This window comes from Homo sapiens, chromosome 4 (assembly GCF_000001405.40).
Source record: "Homo sapiens chromosome 4, GRCh38.p14 Primary Assembly".
In the NCBI taxonomy this organism is placed as follows: domain Eukaryota; kingdom Metazoa; phylum Chordata; class Mammalia; order Primates; family Hominidae; genus Homo; species Homo sapiens.
Genome location: NC_000004.12, coordinates 150,293,845 through 150,315,847, shown reverse-complemented (window position 1 = coordinate 150,315,847; position 22,003 = coordinate 150,293,845). Strand labels below are relative to the sequence as shown.

The 22,003-nt window shown below is 33.8% G+C and overlaps 1 protein-coding gene across 11 annotated transcripts in view; it reads left to right on the top strand.

The window, feature by feature from the left end:
* The window catches only part of LRBA (LPS responsive beige-like anchor protein), a 751,293-nt gene that overhangs the window by 699,880 nt on the left and 29,410 nt on the right, over positions 1 to 22,003 (top strand). For 10 of the 11 annotated variants that reach the window (XM_047416462.1, NM_001367550.1, NM_006726.5 and 7 more), the window contains 3 exons: positions 225 to 287; positions 5,464 to 5,619; positions 13,056 to 13,223. In XM_047416462.1, the coding sequence (XP_047272418.1) occupies positions 225 to 287; positions 5,464 to 5,619; positions 13,056 to 13,223 (387 nt within the window). The remainder of the gene's footprint in view (positions 1 to 224; positions 288 to 5,463; positions 5,620 to 13,055; positions 13,224 to 22,003) is intronic. The other variant, NM_001199282.3, reaches the window with a different exon arrangement.

Sequence of the window (22,003 nt, the reverse complement as noted above, 5' to 3'; positions counted from 1 at the left end):
TGGAGCCACTGCTGATGGCACAGTTCAGAGCGGCACTAATCTAAAATAAATGTTTAATAAGCTAGCCATAAAAGCACCTGGATTTTTGTTCTTTAAATTTCACAAAACTGCATGAAAGATTTAGAGATTGGAAACAATTCTACATAAGGTTTGACTTATGCATTTTTATGTAGTTTAGTATATAAAAAATAATGCCTTTTTTCTTTATCTTTTGTGAATTCCAGCTCATCAAGGTGCTGTACAAGACCAGCCATACCAGCTGCCAGTGGAAATCGATCCTCTCATAGGTCTGTCACTTCCTTCTCTCTTTGCGATTCATTAAGCTCTGTATGGTGGCCCTGAAGTGTAGATTACAGTTGTTTTTCACTTGCTGGTTGCTGGGAATGGAATTTTCCTGATAAACCATTTGCATGCAAATTGGAATGCAATGAGCTGTGGCTATGCTGGTATTTCATCAACTCCCCCTCGTTGGTTTGCCTAATTTGAACAGGCCTAGGACGCGTGTCACTGAAAATTAATATGGATGCTGTAATAATGTGTGATTGAGAATGCGCATGAAGTACTGTCAGGATAATATTGGATCTTTTCATCACTCAGACTTGTTGATGAGCAGGAGCAAGGCACGTTATGATGAATTGGTGCACCGGTAATGTGATGGAGCTCCTTTGCTAGGAAAATTTTCATAATAACAGTGGGGTTCTTAGCAGCACTGCGTTATGAAAAATAAAACTGTAGTGCCAGGGTTTCATCATTAAAGGAGATCAATCCTTTCTTCCTAGACCTTCTGTTCAGTCTGAGGGGATTAATGTGCAATTGCAGAGCAGTTTCAAAGTTGAAATATATTGCCCAGCCAATGGTAGTGTTAAGATATTTGTATTCATTTTCCTAGGGTCCTACAGCCCAATAAATTGCCATTGGAGGTTAAATTTGTTCAGGGGAGAAAAAAATAGGGAGGCGACCAGAAAGAGCCATTGGGATGAAATGAGCATCTGCAGCAGATGACTTAGAATATTTAATTGCTGTTAGGCTTTTTGAGTAGATTAGTCGAAATCTCTAGTTTAGCATTTTTCATCCTTACGTGTGGGGATTTCAAATGTGGCATCACTAAGAATGTTAAGCCTCGATTTTGAAGATGTTATTTAATAACTTTTAGAATAAAAACTTACTTGCCTACCTGTGGTGTAATGCTATCGGCATAGATATTTGGCTTGTAATTTTGTCAGATTTTCCTGGCACAAATAAATTTGTTAGAATTTTAATGTTTTTAAAGAAAGCATATGAATGAAGCAGATTTATTATTTTAAAATCCAAGATGTTCCCTTTATATAGTTACCATTTTTGTCTTTAAAAGGCATTGTTTCAATGGAGAGCTAAATGGCTACCATTAGCAGGTAGACTATCAGGATGAACAGAAATAACCTTAAGCTCTAAACCAATTCATTTATCATTTCCCCAAGTATAATCAGAAATCTAATACGTAATTATCTACATGAAGGATAAATACCACTCTGGTTCTTAAATCTTGTTTTGTTTTGAGTAGATATGATTTGCCATATATTAAAAAAACTAAAATGCTCACTTGGGTAGTTTAAAAGTCAGGAAAATAATAAAGCCCATTTGCTGAGTCATTTAAAGCATTATTTCTGAATTTTAGACCCATCATTTTCTTTGCACCTTGACAATGAATATCCTATGCTATCAAGTCTAATTAAATGAATTCATCAATTGTTGTAACCCTTTAGGGTAAGCATGGGTAAACTTTTTTGGTAAAGGGCCAGATAGTAAATATTTTAGGTTGAGCACCTCTAATCTGCAAATCCCAAGCCCCAAATACTCCAAACTCTGAAACTTTTTAAAGACCAACGTGACAAGACAAGTGGAAAATTCCACACCTGACCTCATGTGACAGGTCACATTCAAACACAGTCCAAACTTTATGTCAGGCACAAAATTATTTAAAATATTATATAAAATTACCTTCAGGCTATATATATATATATATATATACATTATATATATTCTATATGAAACAAATTAATTTTGTGTTTAGACTTGGCTATCATCCCCAAGATATCTCAATCTATGAAAATATTCCAAAATCTGAAAAAAAAATCTGAAATCTAAAACACTTCTGGTCCCAAGTGTTTCAGATAAGGGAAACTCAAGCTGTTCTTAACTCTACCAGTATAGCACAAAAGCCACCATAAATAAAAAAGAAATGAATGAACATAACTCTTTTCTAATAAAACTACATATACAAAATCAGGCATGGGCAGGATTCAGCCTTTGGCCCTAGTTTTGCTGTCCCTGCCCTAGATCACTGGTCAACAGACTTTACACTTCTACCTCCTAAAAGAATTATTTAAAACCATGTATCCTCTCAGACAATTTTTAAGTTGACATCTAAAAGTTTTCATCACAAGTTCAAATAGTTGCAAAGGTTATACATTCTGGCATAGTGTAAAAATTGTTTAATATATCCAATAGAATCTAAGTATCAGAGTGAATTGATACTCAGTAAACAAAATTTTAATATATCCAGTAGAATCTAAATATCAGAGTGAATTGATATTCAATATTTTCTGTTTCTAAAAAATACATTGAAAACCCCTTAACATATGGAAATTTCACATTATTACTTTTTTATCTTGAATTTATATTTTCATTCTACTTCCCCCAGATAATTTTATGTTAACTTTAAAAAATTGATTACCCTATTATGCTTTTCAGCCATAAAAATGTGTTTGCAAAATTAAGCATATGTGTTCAATTTAAATTTTAAAATTTCCTATGACCATAAGGCTCAGCCTTTAAAATAAGTTTATCTGTATTGAGTGATTATTACAAATATTAATGTATTTATTTAATTATATTATAAAGTTTAATAAATGTTTATTTACATAAAATGAACATTTATTAAAAATACATCATCAGCAGGTCTATCTTACTTGTTTTTATAGATGGAACCTCTGAGCAGTGTTACTCACTTAGGAAAATAGATGGGAAAGAGCTTTGTTTCAACTGTACCACTCAAATCTTTGAACTCTCTGCATTAGTGGCAATTCATATAGTGATCTATTATTAAGAGTTATTTTTATGGTTTATTATTAAGTAATCTATAATTTTAACAGTCTATCATTAAAACTTATTTTTAATTATCTACCAATTGACAGCATGATTGGATCCTTATTCCATTTTATTGAAAGCAGTAAATTGGAAACCACCTGACTTGCAGAATGATTTGATACTTATACATTCACTTTTCAGTATTACCTCAGTATTTTGAATTGTCCCTTTATTGGGGGCAAGAAATTACACTCAGCTAAAGCACATAGTAAGATTCTGTGTGGAAGGGAAATATGTCTTTATTTTATCTAGTAGAAGAAGGGCGTGAGAAAGAAGAGGTAAGAAAGGAAAACTCACAGGAGAGTTCTCAGGCAAATCAATTTCAAGCAGTAGAATATATTAAAGTTGAGGAATTAGAAAATTACTGGTATTAACTTCTGAACCTGTGTATCTCTTAGGAAGTCTTACACCTCCAGGGGTATGCATACCCTAGTTTGAAGACTGCTTATCTAGATAAATATACCTTAGCTGGATGGGGGACTTGGCAATGTTAAATTACAAGTAAGCACTTGCTTAGAAAATAGTTCATGTGTGTGCTGAGGGGGCATCAAGCCTTTGCCAATGGGTACTTTGTGGTCACTCAATTCAAAATTATGTACATGCCCAAATCTGCTGAGGTCCTCCCAAGAGATCATCCCAATCCCCCAAGAAAGTTCAGCGAAAGTTTATATCATAGGAGCAAAAGTCACATAAACACTGACAAGAATAAACATGTTTACAGCTCTCATGTGGAACAAAGTACTGCAGTAACCAGTGCAGAAAGTACCACATACCTTGTTTTAATTGCTAGATTTCTTGGAATTTAAAAAAAAATTGTATCATACAACTTCATTGCAATGGGATACTTGATTGCTGTTGGTGGACACTGTCTCTCTGTAGTAACACTATGATATCCACAAAAGCTTTTATTATCTGCCAGCAACTTCCCTTTGTTAGAAGGAGAGGGAAAAAATGATTCCCAACTAGGATTCTGCCCTTTTCACTACTGCTGTCACTTTCTAGCCCATTAATCCTCCAAAAGCATATGAAGCCTCCATTATCAAACAGTTATCCAATAATCTTAAATGGTTGTGTCCACAGACATTAGCAGAATTTCTGCAGTGTTGCACATGTATGTGTACGTGTGTGCCGTGTTGTGTGTGCCATGAGGGCAACAGATCCATCAGTCCTCTGTGTCCCCAGTGGCTCCCAGCACAGCACTGGAGAGTATTTTGAATACTTTTTTTTCTTCTGTTTTACTTCCTGAGCTTTCTATTAAACTACCCACATTAATATAGTTATTACATACAATGAATAGCATATAAATATTTTTCTATGTTTGATTTTTCAAAAAATTGAAAATTATGGTGAAAAGCTTAATAATCGGATGCAGAAGTTTGTTTGTTCTGATTTCTGGTACAATCAAATTTCTTTAGCAGCATCAGAATCCTTACTTGTACTGGAGAGATGATGGTGAAATAACCCTTAGATCACTAGAAACAAAGCTTTCTATTTGGTTGGCCTCAATGCCAAAAAAGTCATCTCAGTGAAGATTCCGTTTCTGATAATGGCACAGTCGATGGTGTATTTCTGGACGATTATTACTCTTCCCATGTGCTCGGTGTTGCTCTATGTCTGACCTTTTTCTTGGTGACAAACCCCGTCTCAGGTGCACCGTAGCACTTTGAAACACACTGCCAAGGCTGTCTTGTTTTATTGCTTAAATAAGGAGTAAGAAAGTGGCAGTCTGCTGTGCTTTGACTTTTTCAATTACAGGAATCTTTAATAAACAGTCATTCTACCCTTTCCTTACATGCAAGTGCAGTTGTAAACAGGGGAAATGGGAGTTCCCATCTAGTCAAATTAAAGACCCGTTAAAGCCAAAGTAGTACAAGATGCTACAATATTTCAAATATATGACATTTAAATCCTAATATCTCTTCCTTGTGACAAAATGTTAAAGGTAATAGATTGTCACAACATGAACCATTCTCATGACAATAAATGTAATGAGATTGTCAGAAACACAAACCTAACTGTGATGCAATCTGGAGATTGTAATCTAGTTTGGTTCTGCCCAAGAGCTAGAAAGCATGTTCTGTGAATTGTGTTCTATTTTTAAATAGTAGTGTGTTATTCTTTCTTTCCTCTAAGCAAAATTTTTAACTGAGATATTGAATTTAGCTACCCACATTTTTCCAGCAATTGGATATGTTTTCCTACTCGGTTTTTCAATTATTATACTTAGAATTAAGGATCAAGTACTCTTATCTGGGAATGTGTCTCCTCTTCTCCCTCACTATAGAATTTCTTTGCCCATGTGGATTTAATAGTTGTTTTTCCTCCCTATTCTTACAGCCAGCAATACAGGAATGCACAGGAGGCAAATCACTGACCTTTTAGACCAAAGTATTCAAGTGCATTCCCAGTGCTTTGTCATCACTTCAGACAACCGCTATATTCTCGTCTGTGGCTTCTGGGATAAAAGTTTCAGAGTCTATTCTACAGACACAGGTAATTTTCATTTTCTTTATCAGTGAACTAAAGTTTACTATAAGTAGTATTGAGAGGCTTAGGATGCATTCTTATCTGCTTCCTTCCAAAAATTACAAAATCCTAAAATTTACAAAATAGGGAGAAGAGGGCATTGTTTTCCCTCTTCAAATAATAATCTACTATATATAGTCCACTATTAAATTTGCTACAGCATGTTTGTAAGAGACAGTTTTTTATAGGTTTGTGACCCAAGCTCATGCTTACAGAATAAATGATTCATTTTGAAGGCAAATCCTGGTATGTAAATACCATGCATGAGTATATGCATAATCTTACGGCAAGTGCACACACACAGAAGTGTATTTTCTCACTTTTGTATTATTTAAAGGATTTTCTTTTTCCTACTTGAAAGACTCATTAAGTCTAACTCTTGGCAGTAGATATCTTGCCTCCACCCAATTCTGCCTAGAATCTTGCTGAAATCTACACCATCATGAAGAAAAGTAGCTGACTATTGCTTTTATGTGTGACAGGAGCTCTTGTTAAAATATAAAAATTTTCAGTCTATATATTCATTTACATGCATCTCCCTAAGGGACAAACCAAGCTGAGCTCAGTATTACTGTAGGAGATCCGGCTGAGTAAATGTTTACAAATTTTTGCATGTAAGAAATTGAGAAACGTTGAGAAATTTAATGGTGTCCCTTAAAATATTTTAGAAATTGTTACAGGATGAAATAAAGTTATAGTAAATATATAGTTTGATATTTAAAATAATTAAAATGAGCTCTTAATTCTTTAGAGCTAATTGATCTACAGTCGTGTGTTGCTTAACAACAGGCATACATTCTGATAAATGCATTGTTAGGGGATTTTATCGTTGTGCAGCATTATAGAGTATACTTACACAAACTAGATGGGATATTCCAGTATACACCTAGGCTATATGGGGTCACCTATTGCTCCTAGGCTACAAATCTGTACAGCATACTAGTATATGGGATACTGTAGGCAATTATAACACAACGGTAAGTATCTGTGTGTCTAAACACATCTAAAAATAGAAAAGTTACAGTAAAAGTATGGTATAAGAGATAAAAACCATTCCATTGTCTTCTGCAAGTAAAAAATAATAATAATAAAAGATAAAAACTGGCATACCTGTATAGGGCACTTCCCATGAATGAAGCTTGCAGGACTGGAAGTTGCGCTGGGTGAGTCAGTGAGTGAGCAGTGAGTGAATGTGAAGGCCTAGGATATGACTGTACACTACTGTAGACTTTATAAAACTCTGTACACTTAGACTACACTAAATTTGTTTTTAAAATTTTTTCTTTACTAATAATTGGCTTACTGAAGCTTTTTTACTTTATAAACTTTTTAATGATTTTAAGCTTTTCAATTCTTGTAATAACACATAGCTTAAAACACAAACACATTGTACAACTGTACAAAAATATTTTCTATATATCCTTATTGTATAGGTTTTTTTCTATTTTAAAAAATTTTTAGAAAACGAAGACAAAAACATATAAGTTAGGCTAAGCCTCCATAGGGTCAGGATCATCAATATCACTGTCTTCCACCTCCACATTCTTGTCCCACTGGAAGGTCTTCAGGGGCAAGAACACGCATGGAGCTTTCATCTCCTGTGATAACACTGCCTTTTGGAATACCTCCTGAAGGGTTTGCCTGTGCCTATTTTAGAATCAACTTTTTCTTTTTATAGGTAGAAAGACTACACTTTAACAATAAAAAGTATGGGATAATAAGTACATAAACCAGTAACAGAGTTATTTATTATCAAGTATTATGCACTATACATAATTGTATGTGCTGTATCTTTATACATCTGGCAGTGTAGTAAGTCCATTTAAACCAGCACCACCACAAACGTGAGTGATGCATTGCACTACAACGTTACCACAGCTATGATGTCAATAGGTGACAGGAATTTTTCAGCTTCATTATAATATCATGGGACCACCATCATATATGTGGTCCATCGTTGACCAAAAAGTTGTGTTATAAAGCTCATGACTGTATATTATGACAGTAGATATTTCAGCTGGAACAAAGGCCTACATATATCTTTATTTAATGTTGTAGGAATTGAAAAATCTTTTAAATTAAAATTTCTAGTTATTTGAATGCTTTATGGTAAATCATCTTTCAGTCTTATTAATAATCTTTATAAAATGTTTGAGTCCATACTCCTGCCTTAATATAGTTTATAGAACAATTAATTTTTGGTTATTCAAGGAGTTTGTTCTTGAACATCTTTTTAATCTTTATTGTTTGTTATATGGAATTGATGACATGGTTTTCTTATAGTTTGCATCTTTATTCTGTAGGTGTAGGAAAGAAAACATCACCATTCAAGCCTTTTTGATTATTTGGGCTTTTACTAGATGTTTAAGTCTATGGGGTGGATTACTATTGAACCTAAACACTCCTCTTTGAGTCTTGGACATGTCTTTTTTTTCTGCCTATTTTAAAGAAGACAGTTGGAGACAGTATAAGAGACAGTTGGAGTACAGTGGCACAGTTACAGTTCACTGCAACCTCAAACTCCTGGCCTCAGGTGATCTCCTCCTGCGTCGGCCTGCCAAGTAGCTGGGACCACAGGCACATGCCACTACACCCAGCTATTTCTTGTTTTTTTTGCTTTTTTTTTTTTTAAATTTTTATAGAGACAGGGTTCTCACTCTGTTGTCCAGGGTGGTCTTAAACTCCTGGAGTTTTTCTCAAATATTCTTTTGGACTTCATATTGTTTTTCCATATATTTTTTAAGTGATTAAAACATTTTTAAACATGAAAATGAATTTTACACTGTAATATAGAACTAATAGAACTGTAAACCACTCTTTTTGGTTTACAGTGCAAACCATAGAGTAATTCACCACCACCACAATCAAGGTGCAGAGCGCCCCCAAATACCCTGTGCCACCTACTAGAAGTCAACTTTTTACCCCACCCTCAACCTCCTGGCAACAACTAATCTGTTCCTCATCTTTAGTTGTGCCTTTTTCAGAATGTCATATAAATGGAATCACAAACCATGTCAATCTTTGGTTTTGACATTTGAGTGTTTTTAGTTTGTTGACATTCTATATTATTGTTTTTTAAAGACACTCAGTATTAACATTTGTAAAGTAAAGCTAACTTCACTTTCATATAACACTAATAATTAAAATCCTATATTCACACAATTTTATAGAATTTATAAAATTCTCTCACATACTAGATATTGTTTCAGTCTCACAATAATCCTGTGAAGTAGACAGGTGTCTTATCCCCATTTTTCAGATAATAAAACTGAGGTTTAGAGAGATTATGTAATTCGTTGAAATGTATGTAGCTAATAGTGACAGAAGTAGGCCTTGGACCTAGCTTTTTAAATTTTAAATGTAGCACACTTTGTGATCATAGCATGTTGTCTCATCTAGGTGTTACCAGTCAGTCACTGATTTTTTTGGGAAAATGCTGTAATTTGTAACACTAAGTTCCTAGTATGTTTGCCATGTTACATTAGACTTAATAAACCTGATGTCATTCTTTTCCCTCTTTCAAAATACCTTCTAATGTCTTTAAAAATGTGTGTGTTTGTGTGTATAAAACGTACAAATAAGGAATAGCCTTAAACTTCATTTCAGTGGGACTGACTTAGCTTGTGAAATAAAAATATTTATACTTACCAGAAAAGTTGTATAAAAAAAATCTCAAACGATAGTCCTGGTGTCTTTCTTAATATCTTGTATAAAAACTCTGATGCTAGTTTTATTTAAAATAATTTCAGTTAAGGTAAATATGTGTCTGTGATTTTACAACAATAGGAATATTAAATATTTTTTCTTAAGTTTAGCACAGAATCAAGGGAAAATCATATGATCAGTAATATATAATGGCAAAGCTAACACAAGTGTTAAATTCAATTATATTTTAGCACACAAGCCAAAAAAAAAAATCCTTCTCTTATTAGATTGGGGAGGAGGGAGGAGAAACATGGATTGTAACAGGAAATTCTTTAAACATAAATCATGTTTTCGGGCCACAACCAGAACAGCAGAGGCAACAATAAAACCTTCCCCTGGCAGTCGGAATTATTTTCAGGCCACATTTTAGATTCAGTGGTGCAGAGTCCTGAGCTTGAATTTTTTTATTTGTAGCACAGCTGTCAAATAAAACATTAACTAGAAAATTTGTTCTGTCAAAAAAGGGATATTCTAGTGCTTGTGGTAATATTTGATATTAGTGTGTGGAGAGGTGGACTGGTATTAAAGGAAACAAAAAATAAAGGTTGAGGAACACTTATAAGATTATCAGAAAATAATTTACCAAAAAGAGCAGCAGGTATTTATATGCTGTGATTTATTTAGGAGGAGTGAACCTCAACCTTATAGCAATAACAAATATTGCTGAGGAAGGCTGCCAGAACAGGAAAAAGTAAACTTAAAAAAATAATGTTTTCCAGAGTTGAGCCCAAAGTATAAATTGTAAAGAATAAAGTTAATTTGTGTTAACATATAAAACCCTTTAGATGTAACTGCTTAAATGTCACTCTCTCATTTAGATCTTCCCTGACACCCAGTGTAAATTTGTTCTATCTTGTTATTGTCATTAATCCAACCTTGTTCTTTTATAATACTCATCCCTATTCATAATTATATACCAGTCTGGGTTTGTTTAATGACTGTCTGCCCCACAAGACTGTAAAGGCTATGAGGGCAGGGACCATGTCTATTTGTTCACCACTGTATACAGGTAAGAAGGCCTAATGCTTGGCACTTAATAGGTGCTAAGTATTTGTTGAATGAAAACTAATTGTGATAACTTTTTGGAAAACAATCAAAACACTAAAAATTTTGAAAAGGAACCACCATGACTGAATGTATGTTTCCTTACACTGACATTGGAGAAACAGAGCAGTGACTTCAACTCATGAGAATTACCATGTGACTCTTGTAAAACTCTGCCCCTATATTTAATCCATCCCACCTTTACAGCTACATTTTTTCCCTTTGTCCTCACATGAGTTGGAAATTAAGTTACCAAGTGAATAGCTGTTCTTTGCAAGCCTCCTACTGCACTAAGAACACCTGGGTTTCCTCTATGTCGTCTACCTCAAGTACCTGGTTAGTTATTTCACTCCTCCTCACTCCTACAACCCACTGATTGTTGGGTTTCAAATCTGAAATAAGCCTGCCCATACATAATCTATTTAAATCACACCTATATTTTATGTGCTCTCAGCATTTAGGCATAGGCTAAAGCAGAAGTCATATATATACTCTATGATCACATCACTATATGATGTATTCATGATGTATGATGTATATATGATGTATTTCTTTCAGTAGTTAAAATACATGGATTTAACCTTTGATTTTCTAGTTATTAATAAGACTGCTTTCAGCTACCTAACTTTTGTCTTATCCTATGTAAGGCCTGCGTGTAATCTGATCCCCGCCAGTTTACCACTGAACCTCCACATTCTGTTTGTCATGTAAATTGGAAATGAAGTAAAAATTATTATATATTTCACATTTAATTTGCTCAATTTTTTTTAGTTCTTGAAGGTCTTGGATTCTTTTTTATTCTTTATTGATATAAGCTTATTTTTTAATGAAATGTTTTGGTGTCAACTTAAAAGGCTGAAGAAATTCAAAAGTGAACATCTTGAACATTTAGCAGCTAGAGACACTTGCTTTGAAGTCTGCTCTCCCTTAATCACAGGAGAAAAAAAGTACTATATTAGTTTTGCAACTTGAGATTGAAGTGAATCTGATTTTAAATTTATTAGAAGTAGGCTATATGCAAGACTGCCACTCATGAATGAAAACATGTATTTGACTTTTCCATCTGATTTAGATAATATTTCAGAATTTTATTTCTAAATTTTCAGCCTTCATAATAAGCCTTAGATTTATTAAAATCAAGAATTTTAAAAATTTAATGTAAATATTATCTTATATTTATTATCTTGAAAAGTTAAATACACTTGATATGCCAGTACTTGGGACCTTAACCTTTTAAGAAGTTTACAATGTATTACGGGTTAAACACATAACCTATTTAGGCATATTAATTTAATTTTCAGCTTAGTAGCCTTTTTTTCTTGAACATCGGAATTATATTTTATAATCGAAATATAAAAACTTATTTAAAGAAAAAGAAAGCCATGCTGAATATTAAGGGTAGACATTGTATGGCATTCATCTGTAGACTCTGTAGACATTTCAAAGGAAATATGTAAGCTAGAAATTCTAAAGATGGAATGGGGGTCTGTCACAGCTATTTAATTGTTTAGACAAGTTTGTGTGAATTACTACCACCATATCTGGTTAAACAAAGATTCTTAAAGGGTGAGGGCTGCTGGGCACGGTGGCTCACGCCTGTAATCCCAGCACTTTGGGAGGCCCAGGCGGGTGGATTACAAGGTCAGGAGATCGAGACCATCCTGGCTAACACAGTGAAACCCCGTCTCTACTAAAAATACAAAAAATTAGCCGGGCGTGGTGGTGGTGGGTGCCTGTAGTCCCAGCTACCTGGGAGGCTGAGCAGGAGAATGGCGTGAACCTGGGAAGCAGAGCTTGCAGTGAGCCAAGATCGCGCCACTACACTCCAGCCTGGGCGACAGAACGAGACTCCGCCTCAAAAAAATAAATAAATAAAAATAACAAAAAAGGGTGAGGGCTTTACTTTTTTTCTGACACCTTTACATGAACAACTGTTCTGTGTTTGAAGCCCTAGATATATAGTAAGTTTACTGGGTTCCTCTCCTTTGTCCCCAGTCATTACCATCTTGATTTCACCCTCAAGGAATTTTCATCAGAAAATTAAGACAAAGAATCACCTGGCTCAAATTGCAATCACAATATATTAGTTCTTTCATCATAATTTCCATATAATCCTGATTTGAAAAGGTAGAAGCTCTCCAAAGTGTCTTATATTGTCTTTGTATAGATCACTTAAAACAAGAAATACATTAAATCTTCAGTAAATCAGAAATAGGTTTTTATTAGTGACATCTAAATTATGAGTACTTTTACAGAAAAGCAACTAAGTTTAATTTTGAATCATATAGAGTAACTCAAGAAAGTGTTAAAATGGTTCCAAAAGGGTTCTCCTGGGCCTGCTTTAATCAGTAAACATGATTCATTTGTAATTTATAGAAGCCATTTGTAATGATACAGTGCCATGGTCCTCAAGTATTATTTGTTGAAATAGTTTTAACACATGCCTTTCAAAAATGTTAACAATTTTCAATTGTTTTTTTGTTGTTCTTGTTAGCATGCAAAGAAAACTGTTAGGTTGGACCATGTCAAATTATTATAAAATCTGAATTATGACCATCAGAGTTCATATAGCTTCGTTGTTTTACAAGTTATCTGTTCACTAGAATTTTTATTTTTTTAATAGCATTTTTAAAGAAAATTGTTTTGCATTACAGGAAGATTGATCCAAGTGGTGTTTGGCCATTGGGATGTCGTCACTTGCCTTGCTCGTTCTGAGTCATATATTGGGGGAAATTGCTACATTCTCTCAGGGTCACGTGATGCAACTCTTTTGCTGTGGTATTGGAATGGAAAATGCAGTGGGATTGGAGATAACCCAGGCAGTAAGTATGACTCATTTTTTAAGTAAACTTTTACAAGGATGTAGAGAATAACATTTTGCAGTAAAGTTACCTTTTTGTTATGGTAAAAGTGAGACAGGATTATCAAGTATTTTTTATTTATTATAATTTAAGAATGATCCAAATAGCCTCATTATCAATTTTGTGACCATTGATAATTAAAATCTAAGCATGAAATCTTATGTTTCATATTATAGGCTATTCTTATGATCCAAAAATTCTAGTTCTTCATTGGAAATAGCTGTCACCAAATAAAGTAGTTTTTATTCATGAAGATACAGCATAAAAGAGCAATCACATATTACCTTGTTTATTGAATTCATATTTTAAAAGAACAAAATAAAAATAATAATTTCATAGAAACAAACTAGTCTTGATAAAATTATGCTTTCATTTATGTATTAAAAAGATAAAACAGGTCATAAAAGGCCAATGTGGAATACTCAAATTGGCTCTTGGTTTTTCAGATGGGAAATGAAAATGTTCACCAACAGCCTTAAACATCTTTATGAAACTATGCTGAAGGCAGTAAAACAAAAAATGTGTAACCATTTAAAATTGTAATTCACAGAAGGCAAAAAAGGAAGCAGCTACCATTAAAACCAATCGCACACAGCTGCAGAAAAGAAATGGCTTTAGAAAAACACATTAAGAAGTAGGAAAAAACAATTAAAGGGACCACCTGAAAAATGAGAATTTAATTAAAATGATTATGACAACACTGTAGAATTCCTGCAAGAATAGCTTTAGATTTTTACTTCAGAAGGTAGAGCATTTTAACTGCTCTTAAATATTTACAGTTTCTTAATTTAAGGCAAGTTGCAATGTATTTGGTTAAGGAAGGATCACATTCTTCCTGATGACTTTACCTGAATACCCGGTCCTTGCTCTGTCACTCCACCCCAGATTGTGAAATGGTCTAAATATGTTTAAGTCCATCATATCTTGGATTGACTTCTCAAAGCTGTTCTTAAATGTATAATATTTGTATGAAAATGAACCTTTTTTTCAAAACATTTAGTCAAATGCTAGTATAATGTTAAAAGAAGTGTGTGTGAAGTATTTTTCAAAGCTGTTTCTTATTATGTACATTATAGACTTTGATGTGATAGGTAAATACAGTTTTTATTCAATGAACGTCTAATAGATATTTCCTGTTTTAATCAAAAAAGGGATAATTTCCTATGCAAATAGGATATGAAAAATAATGTTAAGCCTGTGATGCTATTGATAATACAGACTTTGTGATCAAATTGTAGTGTGTGTATATGTCGGGGAGTAGGTGTACATGTATTTCACATTTATACAGACATCTCTGTAATTACAATAGAAATTACAAAGATGCAAATTTCAGGGATTTTGTTTTTCATATTCTTTTGAAAAGTACCATGTTCTTTTCATCATGAACACAATATTCTGGTCCTTCTTCCTGTCTGTCCTCTTAGAATAAGTGACTCCTTTCAATTTCTTTTTTCTGGTTTCTGTAAATCCAGTTACCGAGATTCACTCAATTATCTCAGGCAAACCTATATTTAAAATTGATAATAAATCTACCATTTTGCTATTTATCTCAAAATATTTAAGAACTTTTTCTTGCCTTAAAAATGTAAGGTATTTCATGCACATAAAGAAATCTGAACACACATAGATATTTGGGTTCTTGGTTTCTTGTTTTATTTTACTTAATCATGTTCTCTATGTTATACACCGTCATTACCAATGTGTATTCTAAAAAGCAGCTAAAGACCTATTAGCTACACTTGTATGTAATTACTATTGCATTTCAGAAAGTTAAGTATGCCTTAAAGTTAGGAATTTTCAGCTCTTCGCAAAGGAAGAAAGTATGATATATATCATGATATATGTATACATTTAAATATATTTTCATATGTTTAAATACTTTGTAACTCAACCTAGAGATTGTTTTTACATGCATGGCCTTTAAAAAACGAATTAAGTAGGACTGAACAAATCCTGGGGTTTGTAGTAAAAAAAAAATCTAAGTTCCAAGCTTTGCTGTGGTCCTTCTGTCTTGTCTGTAAAATGAAAGCAACAACAGAACTGAGTTAAGGTGTTATCAGAAGCACAGGATGATTAGAGCAAATAAATCACCACAAAACACCATCTTGTTGGCATTAGAGTAAATATTATAATGTTATATTTTTCATAGCGTACTTCATCTATACCCTCTCATTGTCTGCAGTATGGTGGACATTACCTCCTAGTAATGCTAGCAATGAAAAGAAAAACAATAAAAGAATAATATAACAGCACATCTAATAAAAATTTTAGAAAATTGTAATGTATCTTGACTGAATTAAATTACCTTTCTCAAAGTGAACCTTATCCTTTCAAGCCCCTGTATAATGTCTGATGCCCCGATTTAATTTTGCTTCAGCTTTGAAAGATGAATCCAGGAGAAAGACAAATAGGCACTTTTTCTTATAATGAGAATTTACACATATTAGAATAGAAAAATGGAAAATGCAATCTACGCTTTTCAAAAGAAAATGACAAACAAAAACAAAGACATTGTTACCGTGTGTAAACTGTTTCAAACATTCATGCAAGCTGGTTCGGATTTTATAAGCCTCTGGCTCATTGATGGTTCCACAATGCAGCTGCTGAAGTCAGAGCTTTTCAGATGAAGGGTTTTAGGTTATGTGTATTCCTATATTGTACCTCTTAGATACAATGTAAATGACCTTTAAGAAGTGGTGAAGCGTGTATATACATATAATTGCAATATGTTCTATAAATGCACATTAATACCTCAACTTTAAATTTTTTATTGTAGACTTTTTCTTTCTTGAAGGGAAAATAGATAAAAGAAAACCAGGTTATTGCTTTTTCTGCATTTTATAGGTCTATCTCAGGGTTTTTTTATTTAAAAAATCATGGGAATAGGTAGTCATTTTACTTTCTAGGGTCATAAGCCTACATACACTGTTTTTTCCATATCTAATATTGATGTTATATGTAAAGTTGATAGCTGTATGACAAAGTTTTAAAAATATCATATTATCTAATATTAATATACATACTGCTTTGGCAATCTCAGGCTAATTCAAACTGGATAAAACCTATAAATACATCGCTTCTCAGCCTTTTGGCTAAGATCAAGTGTAAAACCTATAAATACTGTAATTTGGGGCTTTAAAAAGTGTAAATGTTTTATGAAGCCTGCCTAGACTACATAGCAAAAGGCTTATTTTCCTGTATACCAGATAGTTTTTCATCTTTGACTCTATTGTTTTGTAATAATTATCTCCTGTGGAATGCAGTTTTTTCAATGAGAAGAAAAATGAATATAGGATTCCATTTAATTAGGGATTTAAAAAATGAAATTAACCAAGAATATTTCACTGAGAGATGTTTTGTACATGAAAGCATGGCATCTCTCTCTCCTTGTCCTAGTACTCTGTGTTTTAGGACTGAGCCTTGTCACCAAAGTGCTTTTCCTGAGATAGTTATTTCACCTTCAGAATAATGCTCTCCAGACTGTACATTTTTAAATTTTGGAGAAAATGTTCCCCAGTGCATTCCATTGATAAATAAATACTTTAAACTTTGACATGATCTTATTTAGATAAGCAAGATGAATATATACAAAACAGTTATTATTTATTCACTTTTATATTCATAAACATGGATTTAAAAAATTAAATGTTTATTAGGTATTTTTAGATATCTGAATAATATCTTTTAAAGCCACATTCGATCAGCTTCAGAAGCAAATGGTTGCTAACTGTGAGGGTGTTGCACAGATTTGTGTGTGTAGTATTTCAGTAATACATTTTCCATTCTCGCATTCTGGTTTTGATTTGATTGAAAGGTGGCATTTTTTTTCTTTTCCTCATTGCAATCAGACATGCTAATCTATGTCAGCTTTCTCCTTTATGGGATTGGCGTCTACTGAGAAAAAAACCTAACTTTTCTTCATAACAACAAGATTCTGTTCTTTAAGAATATTTCAGCACCGTTAATTAGAAAGAAGGTTTTATTAACCATAAGGCTAGCACTAACAGACCACAGAGCTGTTTTTTAAAGTACTGTATGCCATAGCTGCCCTGCTTTTTCTCTGTCTAAAACTTCATTTTGTTATACGCTCATCAATCACTTAAGTCATTACCGTAAATCCTACTGTTGTTAATTTTACTAGTATCACCCTAATGAGACATTCCTGCTATAATTAAAAATGAATTCTAACTTTAAGGCATTCTAAATTTTTTTTAATGAATTTAGAATGATCTTGCCATGTGACTATAAATACTACTGATACACATAGACTACTCATCAAGTCTGTAAGAAAAGTAGTATCATAACATGTCCAGGTGTGAATTATTTACTGGCTGCCTCTGTGCACATGTGCTTATGTGTATGCATATTTTTGTACACATATTTAGGAATTATGTCCTTTTTATTGTGAAGCCTAGTATGTTTTACTGAAGCTACTGATAAATTCTTATTCTTTGTCTTGCCAAAATTTAGGTGGATGTAATATAAACAATATTACTCTCTGTAAGTAGGTGTCCTAGAGCACCATCTGCTGGATGCATTTGGGGACTTAATGTTGGGAAACATGAAAATTGGTACTTGGTTAAGACAGGTGTACTTTGTTTTTAATTGCCTGTGATATATTATTTAAGGGTCACAAATGTCAAGGTATGTACATTTGTGTTGAACCATATGAGTTCTTAAAAAGAAATCACTTTACTCCTCCTTTTACCCTACCCTAACCTGGATTTGCAACTGTACGATAAATATTTTGTGTAAGGAAAAAGCAAGCACAATATTTGCCTAATGAAACAAAGCACCACAGTTGGTGATGAAATAAACTTGTTAGCTTCTTGATCACAGCTCTTCAATAAGTTACCGTTGAGGAAGTTATTTGGATGGTATTTTATGTTTAGGTTCCTTATGTTCACTAGATTCTGAATAAGAAAGTAATGCTTGAAACAAGAAACCATTTTATACCTGGATATGACTCTTGATCTGATCCTTTGTCAGGAACAAGAGTTCTTGTGTGTGTCTCATCAAGACCTTCCCTTCTGGGCCTGCATTTGGAATGTACTGTCACACTACAGCTACCCTGTATTTTTATTTTTTCCTTGAAGCATTTATCAAGAAGCGTTTTCAAATGGTATGTTGGCAGTGTTCAAGTTCAGGTGACATTAAAAGTATGTCTATGAAATTCTCCAGAAGGTCCAGGATGTTTAGTGCTCCATGATGCAATGCAGGCCCTCAAGTTCCAGCAAAACAACTCTGTATTTACTGCTTGTAACTAATAGTAGATGTGGTAAAAAGGAATTATATTCATATGGCAAATGAATACAACCTTAATGTGCACCATATGCAGAGTGGTGGGGTGATATGCCAATATATCACATTTATTTACCTTGTTTGGTTGCAGAGAAAAATGACTGTACCATTCAGCCCATAGGTTATAGCCATATAAATATGAGAACAGAAGAATTGATGATTTATACCCTCAGATTGAGTATCTTCATATGTAGACCTTTTTAATAGTGCCATGCCAAAGAAAGTTGTCTTGACACTTTATGCTCATATGGGAAATTTAATTTCAAACAATAGTTGGCATTAGTCTAAGAAAGTAAAAATTCCTTCTAGTCAACTAAACGTAGGATTCTTCTGCTTTTAAAATATTGCAGAACTCTGTGCCGGCGGTGGGGGTGGGCGCGGGGGGGTGGTCCATAACATTATTGGTAGAACTACCAAGGATACACTTAATTAAAGCTTCCTGGAACAACATAGTAGACTGACTTTACTACCTTCCAAAAACGCTCATTTCGTAAGAGAAATTCTACGACAGCTTTGTGCCTATGTAACTCACATTTTACTCTAGATATTACTGATAATTTATGAAAAGATAACCATTTTTATATGAAATTCAATATTTAAATCTCTGATTTTTTTTTTACGAAGCAACAGTTAAACCCTATTTTTTCTAGTTACCTCAATTTTTATGTGCTATGCTCATTTATATCGCTTTACAGAGCAGAAGTTTATAAGTGTTAACAAATTTTTAAAAATTGATTTTCTTGGTCTTTTAACAGGGCCATTATCTAAGTATATCATTACATTTCATTTATCTGGTAATTTTTTAACAGTAATTTTTTTCACATTCAAGTGAGAAAATGAATGTGTTTGATAAGACTTCAGATTTTGGATTTGAAGTGTTTTTATATAGGAAAAAAATTCTCTGAATTGTTTCTGCCTTTTGTGGCTTAAGGCTGCATGACTGTTGAGCTTTTTAAGCTTTCATTCTTGTAGCTTGTAACTTTGCACAACTGAGAGACTGCCTTATTTCCTTTGGGTGAGTGGGGTCAGGAGTGTTTAATAGCTAAAGATATGAAACTCCTCTATAGTTTTCAGAGTCCCTTACTTACGTATTTTTAACAAAAGAACATTAAAAATGTTAAGGAGGATGTATTATAAAGAATTTTAAATAATTTGGGTATTTAGGATAAATAGATAAAACCAATTTTCAGTTTTAATTTATATTCATAAAAATCAGACAATGTTGCATTGCAACAAATCTGAATAAGATTTCACTTCAGCAAATTTTCTACCTGTTTTCTTTTTGGGGGGTAGAATTTTACCATGTTTATGTTACCAGACACTCATATGCAGCTACAGGAGCCATAGCTTACCTAGAACCAAAGACCAAGCCCCTCCATGGGAAAACAACAAATGAAGTCTCAAGCAAGTAGGAAAAAAGAAGCACATTAGTTAAGTATAGTAATGATATGTCCATGTAATGAAGTCCTGTACAGGCATTAACAAAGATACTATAAATTTGTAATATTGACATGGAGGGATACACTCTTTGTATTGCTAAGTGTAAAAGATCACGAAGCTACATATGTAAGTACCTATGCCTATATGTGTATACACTTGTATTCTATGTACATTTATGCATAGAAAAAGTATGAAATGATCACAAGACATATATTAGCAACATTTATTTATAGGTAGTGGGATTTGGAAGCAATTTTTCATTTTCTTCATCATACTTTACTGAAGTATCTGAATGTTTTATAATGAGCATGTACTACCTTGATAATCAGAGACAATAAAGATACTTTAGGCCGGGCACAGTGGCTCATGCCTATAATCCTAGCATTTTGGGAGGCCAAGACAAGGGTATTGTTTGAGCCCAGGAGTTCAAAACCAGCATGGGCAACATAGGGAGACGCTGTCTCTACAAGAAGTAAAAAAAATTAGCTGGGTGTGGTGCCTGTAGTCCCAGCTACTCAGGAGGCTGAAGTGGGAGGACCACCTTAGCCCAGGGAGGTCAAGGCTGCAGTGATCTGTGGTTGCACCATTGCACTCCAGCCTGGGCAACAGAGTGAGACCCTGTCTTAAAAAAAAAAAAAAAAAAAAAAAAAGCTATTTTAATTTGGGGAATGCACCAAATTACTGTACTGTACCTTCACTCCCCACTGTTAGCCTCTAGGCTGCCAAATATTAGTAGTTGTATCAGAATTTATATGAATTATCAAGGAGAGAACCATCTCTAATTAGCTTTTATGCAGCATAGGATGAAATATACTTTCAATGAAAGGAGTGTTTATAACAGAGTGAAAAAAGGGATCATTCTGTTGCTACTACTACTACTATTTTTTTTTTTTAAGAGACAGAGTATCTCTCTGTCACCAGGCTGGAGTGCAGTGGTGGGATCTTGGCTCACTGCAACCTCCACCTCCCAGGTTCAAGCAATTCTCCTGACTTAGCTCCCGAGTAGCTGGGACTACATGTGGGCGCCAGCGCGCCCAGATAATTTTTTTGTATTTTTAGTAGAGACAGGGTTTCACCATGTTGGCCATGATGGTCTCAATCTCCTGACCTTGTGATCCGCCCACCTTGGCCTCCCAAAGTGCTGGGATTACAGGCGTGAGCCACTGCGCCTGGCCTGCTGCTACTACTACTTATATGATACTAATGGGTGCTCACTACATGCCAGGCACCATCCTGAGTGCTTTACATATTAACTCATTAATCTTCACAGTAGCCCTGTGTGGTATCTACTGTTAGTATCCTTGACTTATAGATGAGGCATGGAGAAATTATAAATATGCCTTTACTTTCTGCCCTGGGCCTTGACACTTTTAGGATCTCCTTACTAGAATTATGGAAACTTGCCCAAGGGAGCTCACATAGCTAGCAAGTGCTGGAGCCTAGATTTAAACTCAGGCAGTCTAGGTCAGAGTTATCTAAACTATACATTTAATTAGAATATCAGCTATAGAGAAGTTGATGCAATCCTATCACTAAAGCATTCTTAGTATTTGCGAGAGACACAAAAAGACAACTGTATTATACTGAGTTCTTATGACAGTACATGTCATGGTAAGATTTTGTATTTTTCAAATATACATTTAAGGGGTATACTTTTAAGTATACACTTGCAGGTACACACTCATATAAACCCATTTTCTAATGTACAGTTGACTTTTGAACAACACAGGAGTCGGGGTGCCAACCCCCCACACCGTCAGAAACATGCATATAACTTTTGACTCCCCAGAAACTTAACTACTGATAGCTTACTGTTGACTTGGAAGCCTTACTGATAACATAAAGTTGGTTAACACATATTTTGTATGTTATATGTATCATATACTGTGTTCTTATAATAAAGTAAGCTAGAGAAAAGAAAATGTTATTAAGAAAATCGTAAGGAGAAAATATATTTACTATGCATTAAGTGGAAGTAGATCATCATAAAGATCTTCATC